At 36.3% G+C, this 18,961-nt stretch overlaps 2 long non-coding RNA genes across 8 annotated transcripts in view; one reads left to right on the top strand and one right to left on the bottom strand.

The window, feature by feature from the left end:
- Positions 1–18,961, top strand: part of LOC105377989 (uncharacterized) — a 347,578-nt gene that overhangs the window by 318,334 nt on the left and 10,283 nt on the right. For 5 of the 7 annotated variants that reach the window (XR_007059748.1, XR_007059747.1, XR_007059745.1 and 2 more), the window contains one exon: positions 6,173–10,608. This is a non-coding gene — a long non-coding RNA (uncharacterized LOC105377989). Of the gene's footprint in view, positions 1–125; positions 230–6,172; positions 10,609–16,625; positions 17,242–18,961 lie in introns of those variants that run through there. The other 2 variants (XR_002956387.2, XR_007059746.1) reach the window with 2 other exon arrangements.
- Positions 13,410–17,069, bottom strand: LOC105377991 (uncharacterized). Its single transcript, XR_942964.3, has 3 exons — positions 16,981–17,069; positions 16,823–16,885; positions 13,410–14,150 (listed from the first exon to the last, which is right to left on the bottom strand). It is a non-coding gene; the product is annotated as an uncharacterized LOC105377991 (long non-coding RNA).

The following is an 18,961-nucleotide window of genomic DNA, read 5'->3' as shown; positions in this document are numbered from 1 at the left end:
TGTAGATATATTAAAACCATTGACTAAATTGTACATTTTAAATAGGTGAACATTGTGGTATATAAATTGCATATCAATGAAACTATTTTCTTAAAAAAACTTTTTTTTTTTTTGGGGGATTGCAGGAAAGAGCCACAGATTTGCTTCTTCCTAGCAAGGGCGTGATACTAATTCCAGATCCATCCAAATATTGTTCACTGCTTCTTAGACAGAGACCCCTTTCTCCCAGGTAAGCAGCAGAATTCCCAGACTATTGGTAATTCTCAAAAATCATCATTCGTCAGGCAGTTGATGAAAGACAACACTTTGTGAATGAGAGATAATTTAGTCGGGTCAATATAAGATGAGTAGAAGTTCAAGTTATAATAAAGTCAGTGTATGAAGGTTTAAAAGCATTTGGATAGATGTGTGGGTGAGGAAGAAATAAATCACCATGGACATCTCATAAGAGAAGAGTAGCTTCCAGGCTTTCTGGCCAGTGGTCCAGCACCTGAGTCTCTGATATTCCAGGAAATAGAGTGGATGCTTGATCTTACTCTTCATCTGCCTAGCCAGGTGTATTTGTCCACTTTCATGCTGCTATTAAAAAACTGCCTAAGACTGGTAATCTCTAAAGAAAAGAAGTTTATTTAACTCACAGTTCCACATGGCTTAGGAGGCCTCAGGAAACTTACAATCATGGCAGAAGGGGAACCAAACACATCCTTCTTCACATAATAGCAGGAAGGAGAAGTGCCAAGCAAAAAGGGGAAAAGTCTCTTATGAAACCATTAGATCTCATGAGAAATCACTCATTATCACAAGAACAGCATGAGGGTAACCTCCCGCATGATTCAATTATCTCCCACTGAGTCCCTCCCGTGACACGTGGGGATTATAGGAACTACAATTCGAGATGAGATTTTGGTGGGGACACAGTTAAACCACATCATTCCACCTGTAGTCCTTCCTAAATCTCATGCCCTCACATTTCAAAACAATTACACCCTTCCCATAGTCCCCCAAAGTCTTAACTCATTCCAGCGTTAACTCAAAAGTCCAAGTCCAAAGTCTTATCTGAGAAAAGGCAAGCCCCTTCCACCTATGAGCCTATAAAATCAAAAGCAAGTTAGTTACTTCCTGGATACAATGGGGGCAAAGGCACTGGGTAAATAAACCTATTGGGTAAATATGCCCATTCCAAATATGGCCCATTGGGATAAATTGGCCAAAAGAATTGGCTCCAGGCCCCATGCAAGTCCGAAATCCAATAGGGCAGTCATTAAACCTTAAAAGTTCCAAAAAGATCTCCTTTCACTCCATGTCTCCCATCCAGGTCATGCTGATGCAAGAGGTGGGCTCCCACAGCCTTGGGCACCTCTGCCCCTGTGGCTTTGCAAGGTACAGTCCCCTTCCTGGCTGCTTTCACGGGCTGGCATTGAGTGTCTGTGGCTTTTCCAGGTGCACAGCATAAGCTGTTGGTAAATTTACCATTCTGGGGTCTGGCGGACGGTGGCCCTCTTCTCACAGCTCCACTAGGCAGTGCGCCCATGGGGACTCTGCGTGGAGGCTCCAACCTCACATTTCCCTTCCACACTGCCCTAGCAGAGATTCTCCATGAGGGCTCTGCTCCTGCAGCAAACTTCTGCTGGACATCCAGGCATTTCGATACATCTCCTGAAATCTAGGCAAAGGTTCCCAAACCTTAATTCTTGACTTCTGCACACCTGCAGGCCCAACACCATGTGGATGCTGCCAAGGTTGGGGCTTACACCCTCTGAAGCAATGGCCTGAGCTCTACCTTGGTCCCTTTTAGCCACAGCTGGAGCTGAAGCAGCTGGGATACAGGGCACCATGTCCTGAGGCTGCACAGAGAAAGGGGGCCCTGGGCCTGGCCTCTGAAGCCATTTTTCCCTTCTGGGCCTCAGGGCCAGTGATGGGAGGGACTGCTGGGAAGGTCTCTGACATGCCCTGGAGACATATTCCCCATTGTCTTGGTGATTAATATTTGGCTTCTCATTACTTATGCAAATTTCTACAGCCAGCTTGAATTTTTCCCCCAGAAAATGGGATTTTCTTTTTCTATTGCATTGCCAGCCTGCAAATTTTCCAAACTTTTATGCTCTGCTTCCTCTTGAACACTTTGTCTCTTAGAATTTTTTTCTACCACTTACACTAAATCATCTCTCTTAAGTTCAAAGTTCCACAGATCTCTGGGACAGGGACAAATGCTGCCAGTCTCTTTGCATATGAAGAGTGACCTTTACTTCAGTTCCCAAAAAGTTTCCCATCTCTGTCTGAGACCACCTCAGCCTGGACTTCATTGTCAATATCACTACCAGCATTCTGGTCAAAGCCATTCAACAAGTCTCTAGGAAGTTCCAAACTTTCCCACATCTTCCTGTCTTCTGAGCCCTCCAAGTCTCTAGGAAGTTCCAAACTTTCCCACATTTTCCTGTCCTCTTTTGAGCCCTCCAACCTGTTCCAACCTCTGCCTGTTACCCAGTTCCAAAGTTGATTCCACATTTTTGGGTATCATCGTAGTGTCCCACTCCTTGTACCAATTTACTGTGTTAGTCTGTTCTAATGTTGCTATAAAGAACTACCTGAGACTGGGTAATTTTTAAAGAAAAGAAGTTTAATTGACTCACGGTTCCACATGTCTCATGAATGTCTCAGGAAACTAATAATCATAGTGGAAGGGGAAGCAAACACATTCTTCTTCACATGATGGCAGAAAGGAGAAGTTCCGAGCAAAAGGGAGAAAAGCCCCTTATAAAACCATCAGATCTCATGAGAAATCACTCACTATCAGAGAATAGCATGGGGGTAACCACCCCATGATTCAACTACCTCTCCCTGGGTCTCTACCATGACACATGGGGATTATGGGAACTGCAATTCAAGATGAGATTTGGGTGGGGACACAGCCTAACCACATCACCAGTTTGCTGTGTTTCTGAGGTCTAAGCTTGAGTCAGCTAATGGATGCCCATGTTGCAGGAGTTACAGATTATAATATCCAAAAATTAAAAAGATTGATCAGTAGGTTTAAATTAGAGTGCTTTTGAAATTTGGCATGTTTAAAGATTTTTCACAGATACGTTGTTAGGGTGGTGAATGCAGGAGAATCAGGAGCAGGTAGATAATCTCTTTCACAACCTATGACTCAGCTAATTTTATTTTCAATTTCTTCCATATGAACTTAATTTTCTCTTCCATGTTCTTTTCTGAAACTGATTGTGTTTTCACAAGTTCCTTCACATAATAAAAATCAGCATTCATTCTTTTGCCAAAACATTCATCCTGCTTGTTTCTAAACACTCCTTTCTCTGTTAAGAGTTTTCCCCTCCTCCTACAGAGGAATAACTAATTTACCTGCCTTTTGAATTTGGCTTCTCTCACTTTAGGATAAGTAGCCCTGGATCTCCATGTTCAGACCTCCTCACTCTCATCAGCAATCTCTGTTTATCTTCAGGATCTTTTTTTTTTTTTTGAGATGGAGTCTCGCTCTGTCGCCCAGGCTGGAGTGCAGTGGCGATATCTCGGCTCACTGCAAGCTCTGCCTCCCTGGGTTCAGGCCATCCTCCTGCCTTAGCCTCCTAAGTAGCTGGGACTACAGGTGCCCACGGCTGGCTAATTTTTTGTATTTTTGGTAGAGATGGGGTTTCACTGTGTTAGACAGGATGGTCTTGATCTCCTGACCTCGTGATCTGCCCACTTCGGCCTCCCAAAGTGCTGGGATTACATTACAGATGTAAGACAACACGTCCGGCCCTATCTTCAGGATCTTTAAATTCAGAAGTTAAGTACAAGATTTCGAACAATATCTTCCAGAATACTTTGAACCTACTCATTAAACTTCTGCATTGAAAAAAATACCTCTACTGGCTGTCTTCTACTTTACTCTACTGGAGTTAGGCAAAACGTTCCATAAAATGTTTAAAGACACTTTGTGCCTAGCCAGAATATAATATATATTCAAGATAAAAAAAATCTGGGCAGTGATTTCAAAATGGATAGGAACTTCTATTTAAATAAGAAATAAAGACTACTGGATCAGACTGACTTGGCTTTTCCATGAATCTTTGTTGCTGTTATAGGCTGTTGTTAAATACACATTAAAATGTTTGTGATAGTCATGCATACCAAAAGACACTCCTCCTGATTTGGGGGACATCTTGGATCATATGAAATCATGGCATTGCATTGCAGGGCTGGGGTCAAGACATGCTGCTGCCAGGCCAGGTTCTGCTACTCCAGGAGCCCACCTGGCAAGGTGCCAGCTGCTTTTGCAGGGCCCTGACCTTTCCATCAGGCAGCAGCAGAATCACCAGACAGTAGCTCAAAAATAAAGCAAAGTTAAACATAACTGTGTCATCCCAGAATGGTGATGTTCCCTAATAAAAGCCACACTGATGAATAAAATATAGGGTGCAATTATCCATAGCGAGTGCCAAGAACGGTCTTATAGCCTGATCTCGTATCTGTAGTATTTAACTTCATTTAAAATCACTGAAGAATTTATGTTTAGTAAGAAGTAAAATCACTTAAAATGACTTTGGTAACTTTGTTTTTGTTTAGACCCCAAAGATAAAAGAATATCTTGACAGATGCAAACCAAAAACAATAAACATTTGATTATCTCCAAGTTTAGACATTTGTATAAGAACCGTGGTAAAGATTATAATCAGTAAGGACTCCAACTTCTTTCTCTAGCCCCACCACTGACAGGCCAAGTTAGCTCAATGAAATTCCCAGGGTCAGCTTTTCTGTTTTTAGAAATATAACTAATTAGCTCTCTGTAGTTTTAAACATCATTTCTTAATGATTTTCTGTAGTAATAATTCTCTTTGATTACCTAGCAGGGTGACATTCACGAGAACTGTTCTTTGTAAATTGGTTTCTGATAATAGGGAGGACAGACCAGTTCATGAAGCACAGATAAGAGAACAATAGGGTAGTGGGCCATGAGAGAGTAAAGGATTGGGCAGGATCAGGAGAGTGAGAGGAATTTCCTTTATCACTCTAGGCGAATGAGGTCAACATATCTCTTTGAGGAGGCTTATATCACATGATAGTTATGATGTTAGTTACTTGTAATAGTAACAGTATTAGTAGTACTCTGCATATTGTCAGAATTTCAGATATTTTAAAATTTCCTTCTGAATATATTTTGATGCCATTTCCTGTCCAAAAGCTTGGTTTAATAAACGTTGCATCAAACTTTCTACTTCTGCCAATGATTTAGTATAAAATTTGAATAAATTTAGCAGATCTTCATATGTTAAGACCCAGTGCCTTATTTGGAATGTTGATGTGAGGATTAGAGACACATTTTTCTATAACAGAACTCTCTCATTTTCCATATAATAAAAGGGCAAACAAACAGGAAGAAATGATTCAGTTCCGGAATAGTGATCCTCCCCAGTAATGGAAGTTAATTGAAGAGGGATTTTAATGTAGCTCACATTTAGGAAGGAAATAGTTTTCTTATTATTCAATAAGATCCAAACGTTATGATTTCAAGGAGATATGGATCTTCTATGAGGAACTAGTGAGTTCTGGTGGCAGGAGATGAAACACCTTTTTTTTTTTTTTTTAAGACAAGAGGAATAGATGAACAAATATGCAAAGGAAAACAATAAATACCAAAATATGCAGCAAACCAAAACAGAAACCCACCCTGGTGCCTTCCCTGGTCTCTTTTATTCTCAAAGCTCTAGTTTCCCTTTCCAATTACCTGGCAGAAGAAACAGATGGGAGATAAAAATGCTATGATTCATCTCAGGGTGCCATAAGGATGTAGAAGATACAACATGAGGAAGGGGGTATGATGACTACTGGTGAAGGACCAGAGCCCAGAAAGGAAGGCAGATGAGAGCATGAATGAACCAAGGCACTGGTTCAGTTGGAGGTCAAGTGGAAGGTCAAGTGGGTAGGCATGGAGAGGGCTCCCTGGAGGAATACCCAGCTGAGGGATGCCCATAAAACGATCACACTGAAGGTCTGGGTGATGAGGCTGCAGGCTCAAGAACAACCATAGTAGGGCTGAGTTTGACTGGGAACACAGGATTATCAGTCCTCAGCCTCTCATCTCAATAGCTTGAATTTGTGCTTGGTCATTGGTAACATGGAGTAAAAAAATGATTGAAGTTTCTTCAGGGATGTGTTTCTGCCTATCCTCTGTCAGGACCCTTGAGACACCTTTGCTGTGAATAATGGAGAAGCAAAAGGAGTTACTAATGAAGACAAACTAAACCTGAGAACAGAGAGAGCCTAACTATGTGCTCCAGAAGTGCCATGTGTGTCTAAGGTAGGTCCAAAGGTATGAGTCTAGAGATATTATGTATAAAACACCTAATTGAATGTCAAAAAATCCATAGAAGCTTAATAATTGGTAGCAATTATTATTACTCATTAGTGTGGGGGCTGGGAAGATGACAACAGAGTATAACTTGGAGGGTTGGTGTAGAGCAATTAGCTAGCAACTGTAGTTTGAATTTCCATGAAGTAGTTCCCTTAATTGTGTACACACAAACACATCAAAACTGAAACCACAGCTATGTGATTTAATAATGTTGCACGTTTAGACATGATACAAGGCACTTTTGCCTACATTATCTTTCTGTGAGTTTAACATTAGACCTGGTATAATTATCCTAAATTTACTACTAGAGAATTTAGTTTGAAAAGTCATGCAACTTTTCTAAAGAATTTTTTCTGATTTAATAACACCAATCAATGAATTAATCAATCAACTGTTCTGGCCATTAAATGTGTGAGAAAAAAAAGTCAGTGTATTAATTATAATTATATACCGAGACTTGGCTCTGTGTGTTTCACAAAATAAGTATAAAGTATCAAATTTGTTATAAATGTGTGACCCATTAAAAGAAAAAAAAACTTGATAGATGTGTATTTGGTAACAGCTTTTTAGAAAATTTTTTGAACATTTATGATGTTCAGAAAAGAACAGTGATCAGTGTGCTAAATTAAATTACTTGAATAAATTATGGAGAAAAAGTTCTGATTTTTGTGCAAGGTTTGCATTCTGGATTGAGGTCCAGTTCTTTTTGAAGTATCTGAAATCAAACATATATTTCCAAACCCTGAGGACTGATTTCCTTCTGAAGACCACCCTCTCTTCTATTTGAGGAACTCCATATTCCTTCTTGTAACACTACTCTGATTCTATATCAAGCAATCTTGGCCTTGTTAAGATAAGAAAGTTGCCTTAAGCACTTTCCAAAGCTTTCCTACATTCACTGTTGGTGGATGGTGTCCCTACCCTACTTGTTCCCCTGCAGAACCTCAGATTGGAGATATAAGGGGTGAAATAACAGCCAAGTACCTCAGAGCTAAGTACTTTACATATAACTCATTTAATCCTCACAGCATTGCTATGGAACAAGTACTATTATTCATCCCAGTTTACAGATAGAAACTAAGGCAGAGAAAGGTTAAATAATCAAAGTTTACCTACTAGATAACAGAGTGGGGGTAGAAACCAAGCCATTCTGGCTTTTCCTGCTTGTAACACCAGGGTGGTAAAGGTGAAAATTTGGGTTCATTCTCACAGAGAAGAGGTTATTAAGGCTCAGACTGGACAGATAGCATGGGAATGATGAGCAAGCAGGAAATTTAAGAGTCAGATCTTAGAAAAATATGACAAAGCCTAGAGACTGGCAACTGACATGATCTGAGAAAAGTGAGGAGGCCAGTGTTCCTTGTTTGGAAACAGGAGGAATAATGGGACCACTGGTTGAAATGGAGTGCAAATGTCTTATAAGAAAAGGAAAAAAATGACACCAACTTGACCCTCAAGTATATTTTGAGTATATTCTATTTCTCTTTTCATTAGAAGAAATTTAATTTGAGAAATGAATAGAGAAAGAAAGGGGAAAGGAGAATGTTTCAAAGAATAAGGTTAAAGTCATCACAGCTTGACAGCAATCTAAAAGTCAAAAAGTATGCCAGAATAGCAGGTATTTGAGACCCACTGTTCGAAACAATTTTATTTTAAACACATGTGGTTCCTTAATGATACTGGTAGCATGGTGGTTGTGCAGCCCGCCTTTAGCAGGAAGTGCTGATTTGCTTAATTCTATTAAGCCTATAAGAAAGGTAAATCTGTCTCCTGAACTTAAGGGGCCTCTGCTCTAAAGTAAGTTTGACATTGGCCAATAATCACCCTGACATTCTTGTGGCTTTGGCTGCTCTTGAAGCTGCTGAATTGCACCAAGAGAAGAGGCTGAGTGAGAAAGCCTGGTTATAGCAATGGCCCATCCTGTCAGTGCTGGGAGTGGGTACTATACTCAAAGCAGTATAAATACAGATGCTGCACATTATGCTCTGCTATGCTGGCTGCCTTTGGGATGATTGTTGGGAAAGTTCTTGAAGCCAGTGGTGTTAGAGGGGACAGTGTGCTTCTTGAAACAAAAGAGTTGATGGTGAGAATGGTCTTTGAAAACTGTACTCTTTACAAAGGTGAACTCTGCAAACTGGGCCTACTGAAAGAAATAGGGATTCTATTTTCATTACTGTTTTATCATCAAAATACCATAAGGCCTGGCCCTTAGCAAATAGTCCTTAAATATCTGATACCATTAGAAGCTTGCTTCTATGAAGGGTGATCACCCATCCCAGTTTGCGTGGGACAGTCTTAGTTTACATTATTGTCCTTGCATCCTGTTCAGCTGGTATATATCCAAGTCTCTTAATTTTTATTCAAGTATTATTATTAATAGTTGTACAAAAATAAGTCAGAATAAGTTTGGTAGACCTCTACTTTATTTCCAGCTTCTGTCATTTTCTTCCTGGTAGTAGGTATGAGACATATATACATGGAAAGATAATCAGCAGTAGCCTATCTCTCTCCCTTTAATTTTTTAAAGAACTTTCCAGATTCAAGAATGGACAAGGCACTCAGTTATGAGCAACAAATTCCTTTTGTCTTGGAGATCATGGAAGAAGTATTAGATGCTGCTCCCCTTAGTGTAACAGCCAGTTTTGTTGCAGCCTGTGGGGCCTGCAAGCTACACAAAACCACCAGGATCCTAGAAGAGTCACTAGGAAACGTAGAGTATTATAGCTAGATAAACATCATCACATATGTGTAAAAGATAGAGACTGAACAGTCCAGTCTTAAAATGTATAGCAAAGTAGTTTGAATGCTCTTGTTACAGTGATTTTGTCATCTACCAATTTTAAGTGTGTAGTGATTTATCTATCACATTATTTGGCAATACTTTCTGAATTTTGCAATACATGCAACAATGACCTAAAAAATGAAAGTGCATGTTTAATTTAAAAATTAAAAGTAAAGCCAGGCGCAGTGGCTCACACCTGTAATCCCAGCACTTTGGGAGGCTGAGGCGGGCGGATTACCTGAGGTCGGGAGTTCAAGACCAGCCTGACCAACATGGAGAAACCCTGTCTCTACTAAAAATACAAAATTGACTGGGCGTGGTGGTGCATGCCTGTGGTCCCAGCTACTTGGGAGGCCGAAGCAGGAGAATTGCTTGAACCTGGGAGGCGGATGTTGCGGTGAGTGGAGATCGCGCCATTGCACTCCAGCCTGGGCAACAAGAGCAAAACTCTGTCTCAAAAAAAAAAAAAAAAATTAAAAGTAGGATCTTCATACATCATAAAAGCCATAATGATTTCACACACCAGCTGACAACTAGCAGACAAAAAATCTTCTGGGAAGTCAGAAGCATCAGCCTTCAAAGTTATTATTTTGGGAAGACTATGCTCAAAAGGAGAATTTTACATATGTGACCACAGAAGGTGTGCCTATATATCACTCTTTAAAGCATGAGTTTTTATTTCTATCAATTGGTTGTTAGTTTAAGTTAATTTTGCTCATTTTCACTTTCAAGTTTTTGTGTATGCATGAAGCAGGAAGCAATAGCAGAAAATGTGGCTCCATTAGTAGCAGAACTTCTCAAGCTCAAAGGATGTCCATTTTGTATTAGCAGATGCTTCAAATTGAAAATCATTAATTCCAATATACGTTTTTTTCCCCATGTGGTTTCTGTAATCAAAGTAAAGCTTTTGGAATTCATTCTCAAAGGTGAAATATCTTGAGATCATTGTCAACATTAAAAGTACAACCCTGAAATTAAAGTATCTGTTTTTGTGATGATAATACAGATATAAATTTTGATGGAACAGATCATCCTGGTAACAGTAATGTTCTTACTAAATTAAGGAATCTATGGAGGAGAAATGTATTTGGAGTTGGATGTAGTATCCTCATAATTTGTAATTTTATCCAAACAAGCTGTAACATTCTACCAAAAAAAGAGCCCGTATAGCCAAGACAATCCTAAGCAAAAAGAACAAAACTGGAGGCATCACGCTACCTGACTTCGAACTGCAAGGCTACTGATACCAACACAGATATATAGACTAATGGAACAAAACAGAGGCCTCAGAAATAACACCACACATCTACAACCATCTGATCTTTGGCAAATCTGACAAAAACAAGCAATGGGGAAAGGATTCCTTATTTAATAAACGGTATTGAGAAAACGGTCTAGCCATTTGCAGAAAACTGAAACTGGACCCCTTCCTTACACCTTATACAAAAATTAACTCAAGATGGACTAAAGATTTAAACGTAAGACCTAAAACTATAAAACCCCTAGAAGAAAACCTAGGCAATACCATTCAGGACATAGGCATGGGCAAAGACTTCATGGCTAAAACGCCAAAAGCAAGGGCAACAAAGCCAAGATTGACAAATGGGATCTAATTAAACTAAAGAGCTTCTGCACAACCAAAGAAACTATCATCAGAGTGAATAGGCAACCTACAGAATGGGAGAAAATTTTTGCAATCTAGCCATCTGACAAAGGGCTAATATCCAGAATCTATAAGGAACTTAAACAAATTTACAAGAAAAAAACAAAGAATCCCATCAAAAAGTGGGTAAAGGATATGAACAGACACTTCTCAAAAGAAGACATTTATGTGGCCAACAAGCATATGTAAAAAAGCTCATCATCACTGGTCGTTAGAGAAATGCAAATCAAAACCACAATGAGATACCTTCTTACACCAGTTAAAATGGTGATCATTAAAAAGTCAGGAAACAACAGATGCTGGAGATTTGGAGAAATAGGAATGCTTTTACACTGTTGGAGGGAGTGTAAATTAGTTCAACCAATGTGGAAAACAGTGTGGTGATTCCTCAAGGATCTAGAACTAGAAATATCATTTGACCCAGCAATCCCATTGCTGGGTATATACCCAAAGGATTAAAAATCATTCTATAAAGATACATGCACACGTATGTTTATTGCAGCACTATTCACAAGAGCAAAGACTTGGAACCAATCCAAATGCCCATCAATGATGGACTGGATAAAGAAAATGTGACACATATATACCATGGAATACTATGCAGCCATAAAAAATAATGAGTTAATGTCCTTTTCAGGGACATGGATGAAGCTGGAAACCATCATTCTCAGAAAACTAACACCGGAACAGAAAACCAAACACCCCATGTTCTCACTTAAAAGTGGGAGTTGAACAAAGAGAACACATAGACAGAGGGAGGGGAACATCACATACTGGGGCCAGTCGGGGGGTTGTGGGGAAGGGGAGGGATAGCATAGGAGAAATACCTAATGTACATGACGGGTTAATGGGTGCAGCAAATCACCATGGCACATGTATATCTATGTAACAAACCTGCACGTTCTGCACATGTATCCCAGAACTTAAGTTTAATTAAAAAAATCTACTAATTGAAATAGAAGCTAAAGATGTCAAAATCCATAAATATTTTTATATCTACACAATTGGAATAATTAAACTTTTGTGATAAAGCTAATATTGAATTTAAAAATCTCCAGCATAACGGTATGCTTTTTCTGCAGCCTCTCATCAGTAAGATTTTAGGAATGTTTGATCATTTGAATAACTACTTTCTAAATCAACCTTAATGTCCTACAATAATATTCATATTTTGATAAATGAGTTATCTAACTTTTGGTTGCACTGTATGCAAAATCGGCTGAAAAATTTTTAAACAACGCATTTAAAAATGGTGTGGCAAGAAAAAACAGCAACTTCTGGTTGAAGCTTTCTGCAAACTGAAAATATTGAAGACAATATCTTGCAGGCAGGAAAACATTTATCTCTACAAAAGCAAGGGGAAGCTGAACGAACTGCAGAATGAGCTCACAAGAGGCTCTAACATTTAGTTTTGAAATTACATAACAGCTTTGGAACATCTGACTTGTGGAAAGAATTTGTTGATTTCCTAATTTTAATTGGATAAATGGTATTTTGTATCAGACTGAAAGAAAATTGACAAAGCCTACAATGTTTCAGCGCTTTAATTTGGTGAAGTTTTCAAAAATATTATAAATAGATACAACTTTTTTGACAAGTGTTGTCTTAAAAAAAATTTGTTGGAAGAAGCTGTGCTACATGGAGGCAAAAGAGGCAGTGCCCATGAAAATATTTGGGCTGAAACATTTATGCATTTCAGCTTAAAATAAATTGAAATTGAGATAATATCACATTTAGCAGAATTTATTTGGAGATAAGCAGTTCCCTTGGGACATTTACAGATATTTTATTTTTTTGGTTCTTTTACAAAGATGTGTCTAGTGAGTAAGGATATCAGTGACTTCAAATTTTTAAATGAAGAATTTTAATTTTCAAATTTCAAATATTTCAGACAATTTTATAGGAAAAATAAAAATAATTTAAAAATATTTTTTAAAAAACACATTAGAGACAGATTCAGCTAAGGAGCAGATTAAAGCACATAAATATGTGCAGGTAATATTCTTTCTGCTTATGTAACTTTCTAATAGTTTATATAATCAATATTTCAACCTGTTTTAAAGTATACAAATATATTTGTATCTTTAAAGAATTTTTAAAGTAATTTTTGAATAGAATTGTTTTTACAGACACATGAATATAAATATACAAAATTTCATACAATAAACAATATTTTTAAGCAATAAACATTTTCCAAAAATTGTATACATTTAATTATTTTAGTGTATCCTTTCGCTCTCAAACGTCTTCCATTTGGATGATAAATTATAAAGTCATCCAGAGCAGCTTCTGAAGTCAGTAAGAGCTATAACTTTTCTTCTGAAGATTGTGGTAGTTAAACGGGAATCTAACATTCAGATGAATCATATTTATTAAAGAGAATATTATGACCATGAAGTTGTTCTTAAAACTCCCAGAGAGAAAGAGTAACCACATTAAGCCAAATTTTAGTACATGAGAAACTCAGTGGCCTCAACATTGTGATAGAGGCATATTCGTCATAGGAGATCCAAGTGAGTTGGTGTGAACTCCAGGTGGCTGTTAAATGTGGTTGGGTGAAATTTATGAGGTGGTATTTCTCCACTTCCTGTTCCTTTTTTTTTTTTTTTCTTTTGGACAGGTCACCAGTGCCTAATTTTTTGGCTTTCTATGGCTGAAGTGTAGTTTTAAGTGGCAGTGAAATTATGATGACATTGGACAGTGATATAGCGGTGAGCGTGGTGGTAATTAATCAAAGTCTGAGATTTTTTTTTCTTACTGTATCAGATTACAAATCACTTCATAGAATTTAAAGATTACTTATTCCTTGGTGGGTTTGTGTAATGCCCACAATAAGACAATCTTTTCATTTGTACAACTATTTGCAATAATTGAAACTATAATTTGATCCTCATTTCATGTTTCAAAGTAAGGAGTGAGGTAAATTTATTCTATGCAATAAAGAGCAAGTATAGGGATTTGATATCTGCATATAGGACTTAAAGGAGCCAATTATAACCCTTCTTTGTGCCTGGTGGGCCAAATATGGCATTTACTAGTTTATCTCCTACGCTCACTTGTAATTTTTCCTGAGTAAATCCAATCCCCCTTTAAATTTATGGCAATGAAACTCTCTCCGAAACCATCTCCAGATTTTGGAAGATAGCTCACCCAATACTTTTGTTTCCAGCTTTGCTGTGGAGTAGTCACAAGTATTAGTTAAGAAAATCGTCCCACCCCATGTGTAAGTACGTTCTGAAACAGTGTATCATAGGCCCAGTGATGTAGAGGTACCCAGGAGCTTCAGATTTTATGACTGGATTCAACCGCTGGTCATAAATGAATGACACTGACTGGAAGAGAAAGATTTTCTGGTCCTGCAAAAAGAAGAATATTGGAATTTGACATATTTTCATTTACATAATACAAATGATTCCTTTGCTCTTTTGATTTCCTTTACTTATATTGCTAATCCAAATAACATAAAACAACACATTGCAGCAATTGTATGCATTACTGCTTTGGGATAAAAATCTAATAAAGATGGCTCCTGATATTATGAATTAAAATAATAATAGTGATTAATCATAGTAATGATAGTAATAGCACTGATTATATACCAGGCACCCTGCTCAGCATTTTATATATCATATAATTTTCATAAGTGATTCTTTAAGATCAGTGCTATTATTATTCCTATTTTTCAGATTAAGAAACTCAGGCATAAAGAGGTGAAGTCATTTGTTCAAGGTCAGGCAGCTACTAAGTGAGAGAACAGAGAATTATATCAAGGTGCCTGGATTCCAAGGTCATGCTCATAACTGGAGACTAAACAGCCTCATATTAGATTTCCTCCCTGGAAAAAAATCCTATTTTCTTTTGGTGAACTATGTATTTAATATTTTAATTAAGTTTGTTAGCACATTATTGTTCTTCCACTGTACTAAGTGAAACTGTTCTCTTTTTTGTTTTTTTATTGTGTTTCTGTGTGCACATGATACTTTGTTTTCTTTCTTTTCTATTTTTGTCAAACTTATATTTTCTACTTTGTAAAATAACTAAGAACTTTTTCGTGTTTTCTATGTCCTATAAAATAAAAAGCAATTAACCCTTAAAAGATTGAAAAATTAAGCATATGATTCTTTGAAATTGAAACTTTTTTTTTACAGTTAATGAGTACATGGTTCTGCAAAGTATTCTCTTTCAATTTTTGAATATCCTGCATTTTCATTTATTCTATAGATATTTATAGGAGACTGTTATGCCTATAAGTTGTTAGGTTACAGATGTGCTAGTTTATAAATTAATAAAATGAACGAAACAATGCCCTGAGAATTAAGAAGCTTACTATGAATTCAGTTTTATTATGTCTTCTTTCTGATTTCTAAGGTTGTTATATTTTAATATAATATTGTGTTGTTTTTAATTTCTTCATTAGAACTTAAAAGAAATTTTGTATTTTTCAGTTTATTTGCTTCCTTCTAAGAATTAGTTCTTAGGCTTATTTATTAATTATATTTGTATTTCATTTTTACTACCTTCTAAGTAATTGATTTTGGTGTTTATGCTTACTTATCTCCTAAAACAGAAGAAAACAACATAATCCCATAAGTCCATGCAATTATTTTTTAATATAGCTTTGGTCACATGCTATATATGCGGATATTATTATTCTTAGATTTATTGAATTTAAAGTGAATTTATATTTTTCCTTTTATTGTCCTAGTTGTATACAAAAATTTTAATTATATATCCAGATAATAGGATGTTTATGTTTACAATTTTGCTACTAAATTTGGATATGTCGGTATCATGGTCAAATGTTACCTAAAAACTTGTATTATTTGGAATTTGTTGAGAATTTTCAGTGTGTTTTATGAGTGTATATAAATATGATACTTGCTTCTTAATCTATTAGCATTACTTTTATTTCTTAATCTATTAGCATTACAATAGTCAAATCCTTTATATCATTAATTTTTATCACATTTGACCTGAACTCATATAGCAATAGTAATTCATAGTACTAAAGCTTTTCTTAGTCAATTTATTATTGCATAAATCACTATTTTGCCTTAATTGTGAATTGTGTCTATGATCAAATTAGTATGATCCCTTCTTGCCCCTTTAATTTGTTTTACCATTAATTTTATTTGTTTGATTTTAATATAATCATTTCTAATATCTATTTATATTTATCTATTAAGCCATTTATGTAAAGTATACACACTATCAACCTTTTGTACCATTTTGGTTTCCAGATACCTTTTGTGAGCAGTATATAGTTAAATTTGCTTATTGAACAAATTGCCTTTCCCTTTAACAAAGGAAGTTAAATTAGTCATATTCAGGTTATTGCTAAAGTTTGTTTTTCTGACTTCTTAATAGAGTGCTTTTGTTTTGTATCGTAAACATTTATACTGTTTTCCTTGTGGTCTGTCATTTGCTACATCATCGACATTTCCTTTGTTTTTATGTTCCAGTGGGTATTTAAAATTCTGTGAGTGTTATCTTTAAGTTTTTGAAGTCAAATTAAACAAATTTTTTTTAGAACTTACAGCAGGGAAAAAATATGACTTTTTACTTTATAAGATATAGATTTGAATTTTTACTATTTTCTCCTCATATATGATTATCAATTTTTGTACATTTAATCAAAAATTATAAATTTTCACAAATATTGTAAAATGCTTTTTTATGATATTTGCACTCATTTTAAATTATAGTTATAGTACTTACACAGTCTTATCTTCTTTACTGAAATGTCTCCAATATTTACTGCTACTTTTTTTAATGCTATGAGTGTTTTGCTTTTAAGTGTATCCAGAATATATTCTTAAGAATTTTTCCAGGACATCAGCAAGATGATGAAAAGGGAGTTTTCTACTGTCATTCCCCAAAAGAAGCATCAATTTTACAACTACTCATGGACAAGAGTATCCTTGTAGGAATCTAAGAGTTTAGCAAAGAAGTTTCAGCACATTCTCAGAGCAAAAAGTTTGAGTATGCATACGGAGAAGAGAAGAGAATAAGAACAGTTGCACTTTACCTGCACTTTTTCTCCCCCAAGGTGTCACAGCTCAGTGCCAAGAGAGACCTCCTTAGCCCGTTTCTCCCATAAAGGAAAGTGAGAGTATAGTAAATAAACTGTCAGTTCCCTGGCTGTGTGAGATGCTGCCCAATAGCCCCACCTCTTTTTTGTCTTACCCAAATTACTGAGGTGATCGGCACAGGTGAGAGATTGGGAGAGGGTAGAACCAGAGAAGAGAGGCCGTGGACTCTCATAATTGCTCCAGTGGATTCCATGAGGAAGTTTGTCCATGAGGCACTCGAGATGTCTCACCTGCGGACACCACCAATGGCCCAAGGCCACTGCAAATGCATTTCATGCTTCTCCCACCGCCTGGATGAAAGAAGGATAGAAAAAAGGCACACAAACTGGAGCATCTCAAAGCACTGCTCTAATAGGTAATAGAAAAATAGGTAAGTGTCCATTGACAGATAAATAGATTAAGAAAATGTGGTGTGTATACATACACAATTCCATTGTATATTTACACAATGGCATATTATTCAGCCAAAAAAGGAAGAAAATCCTGTCATTTGTGACAACGTGGATGAATATGGACAATATTATACTCTATCATATTGTACTATATTATAATAAGAGAAATAAGCCAGACACTGAAAGACAAATACTGAATAATTTCACTTATATGTGGAATCTAAAAATGTCAAACAGAAGCGGAAAGGAGAGGAGTCAAACTCAGAAGCAGGGGTGAAGCTGTGGAAAAAATGGAAGATGTTGGTCAAATGGTACAAATTTTCAGCTATAAGACTAATAAATTCTGAAGGCCTAATATACAGTATGGTGACTATAGTTAATAATAACATATTGCATACTTGAAATTTGCTAAGAGAGTACATCTAAAGAATTCTCACCACACACACACACACACATGCACACACACATACAATAGATAACTTTGTAAGATGATGGATATGTTAATTAGCTTGATTGTGGTAATCATTTCACAATGTATACATGTACAGTAGTTCACCCTTAACCACAGTTTTGCTTTCTGTGGTTTCAGTTACCTGCAAAAAAATACAATAAGATATTTTGAGAGAGAGAGAGAGACAGAGACAGAGACAACATTCACATAGCTTTGATTACAGTATGTCGTTTTAATAGAGCTACTATATTATTAGTTATTGTTGTTAATCTCTTACTGTGCCTAATTAATGAATTAAGTTTTATCATAGGTGTGTATGCATATGAAAAGACAATATATTTAGGGTTTGGTACTATCCACGGCTTTAGGTATCTTGGAATGATATTCTGAGGTATCCACTCAGAATCTTGGAATGTATGCCCTACAGATAAGGGGGGACTATTGTATCAAAACATCACATTCTATACCTCTAAATAGATATACTTTTTATTTGTGAATTATATCTCAATAGTCTTGAAAAACGAAAACCAAAACTGAACAAAATATTTCCAGAATATTTATGAGTCACTTGTTTTCTTTTTTCTTATGGATCTGAGAATATTTTCTATGGCTTCCATTTAGTGAATGTGTATTAGGTTATTCAGATACAAATGCCATACAAATCATTTCATTTAATTCTGATGTTGTCATGGAGAATTTTTAAATCAGCTTAATTTTTGTGATTTGCTGATAATCTTTCAACTGGATTTAAAAAATTTTTTAATATTAAAATTTTTAAATGTTGCCACTGCACATCTAAAGTTGGTATGCTGTTATTATTATTATTTTTTGCCTGGTGTATATTAACACCTTTCAAAACCCTTTCTCTTCTCCAATTCAGAACATTTCTTCAATTATATGTTTGATTATTGCTTTCTGTTTTATTTGTTTCTATTCTTTCTTACATTGAATATGTTCATTCTAAATTATGTATCTTCTCCATATGTTTTTGTCTCTTTTATTTGTTATTATTTTCATGTAATTTCTATGCTATGGCTTGAATATTTTTGTCTCTTTCAGAATTCATGTTGAAACTTAATTCCCAATAGAACAGTATTAGGAGGTGTGGCCATTAGAAGGTGATTGAGTCCCTCATGACTAGGATTCGGTGTCGTTAAAATAGGGCATGATGGAGGAAGTTCATTCATTTTTGCCCTTCTATTTCTTCTGCCACATAAAAAACAACATTTCTT

This window comes from Homo sapiens, chromosome 6 (genome assembly GCF_000001405.40).
Source record: "Homo sapiens chromosome 6, GRCh38.p14 Primary Assembly".
NCBI classification, from domain to species: Eukaryota; Metazoa; Chordata; class Mammalia; order Primates; family Hominidae; genus Homo; species Homo sapiens.
Note: the sequence above shows the minus strand (reverse complement) of the source record. Positions and strands in the feature narration are given on the sequence as shown.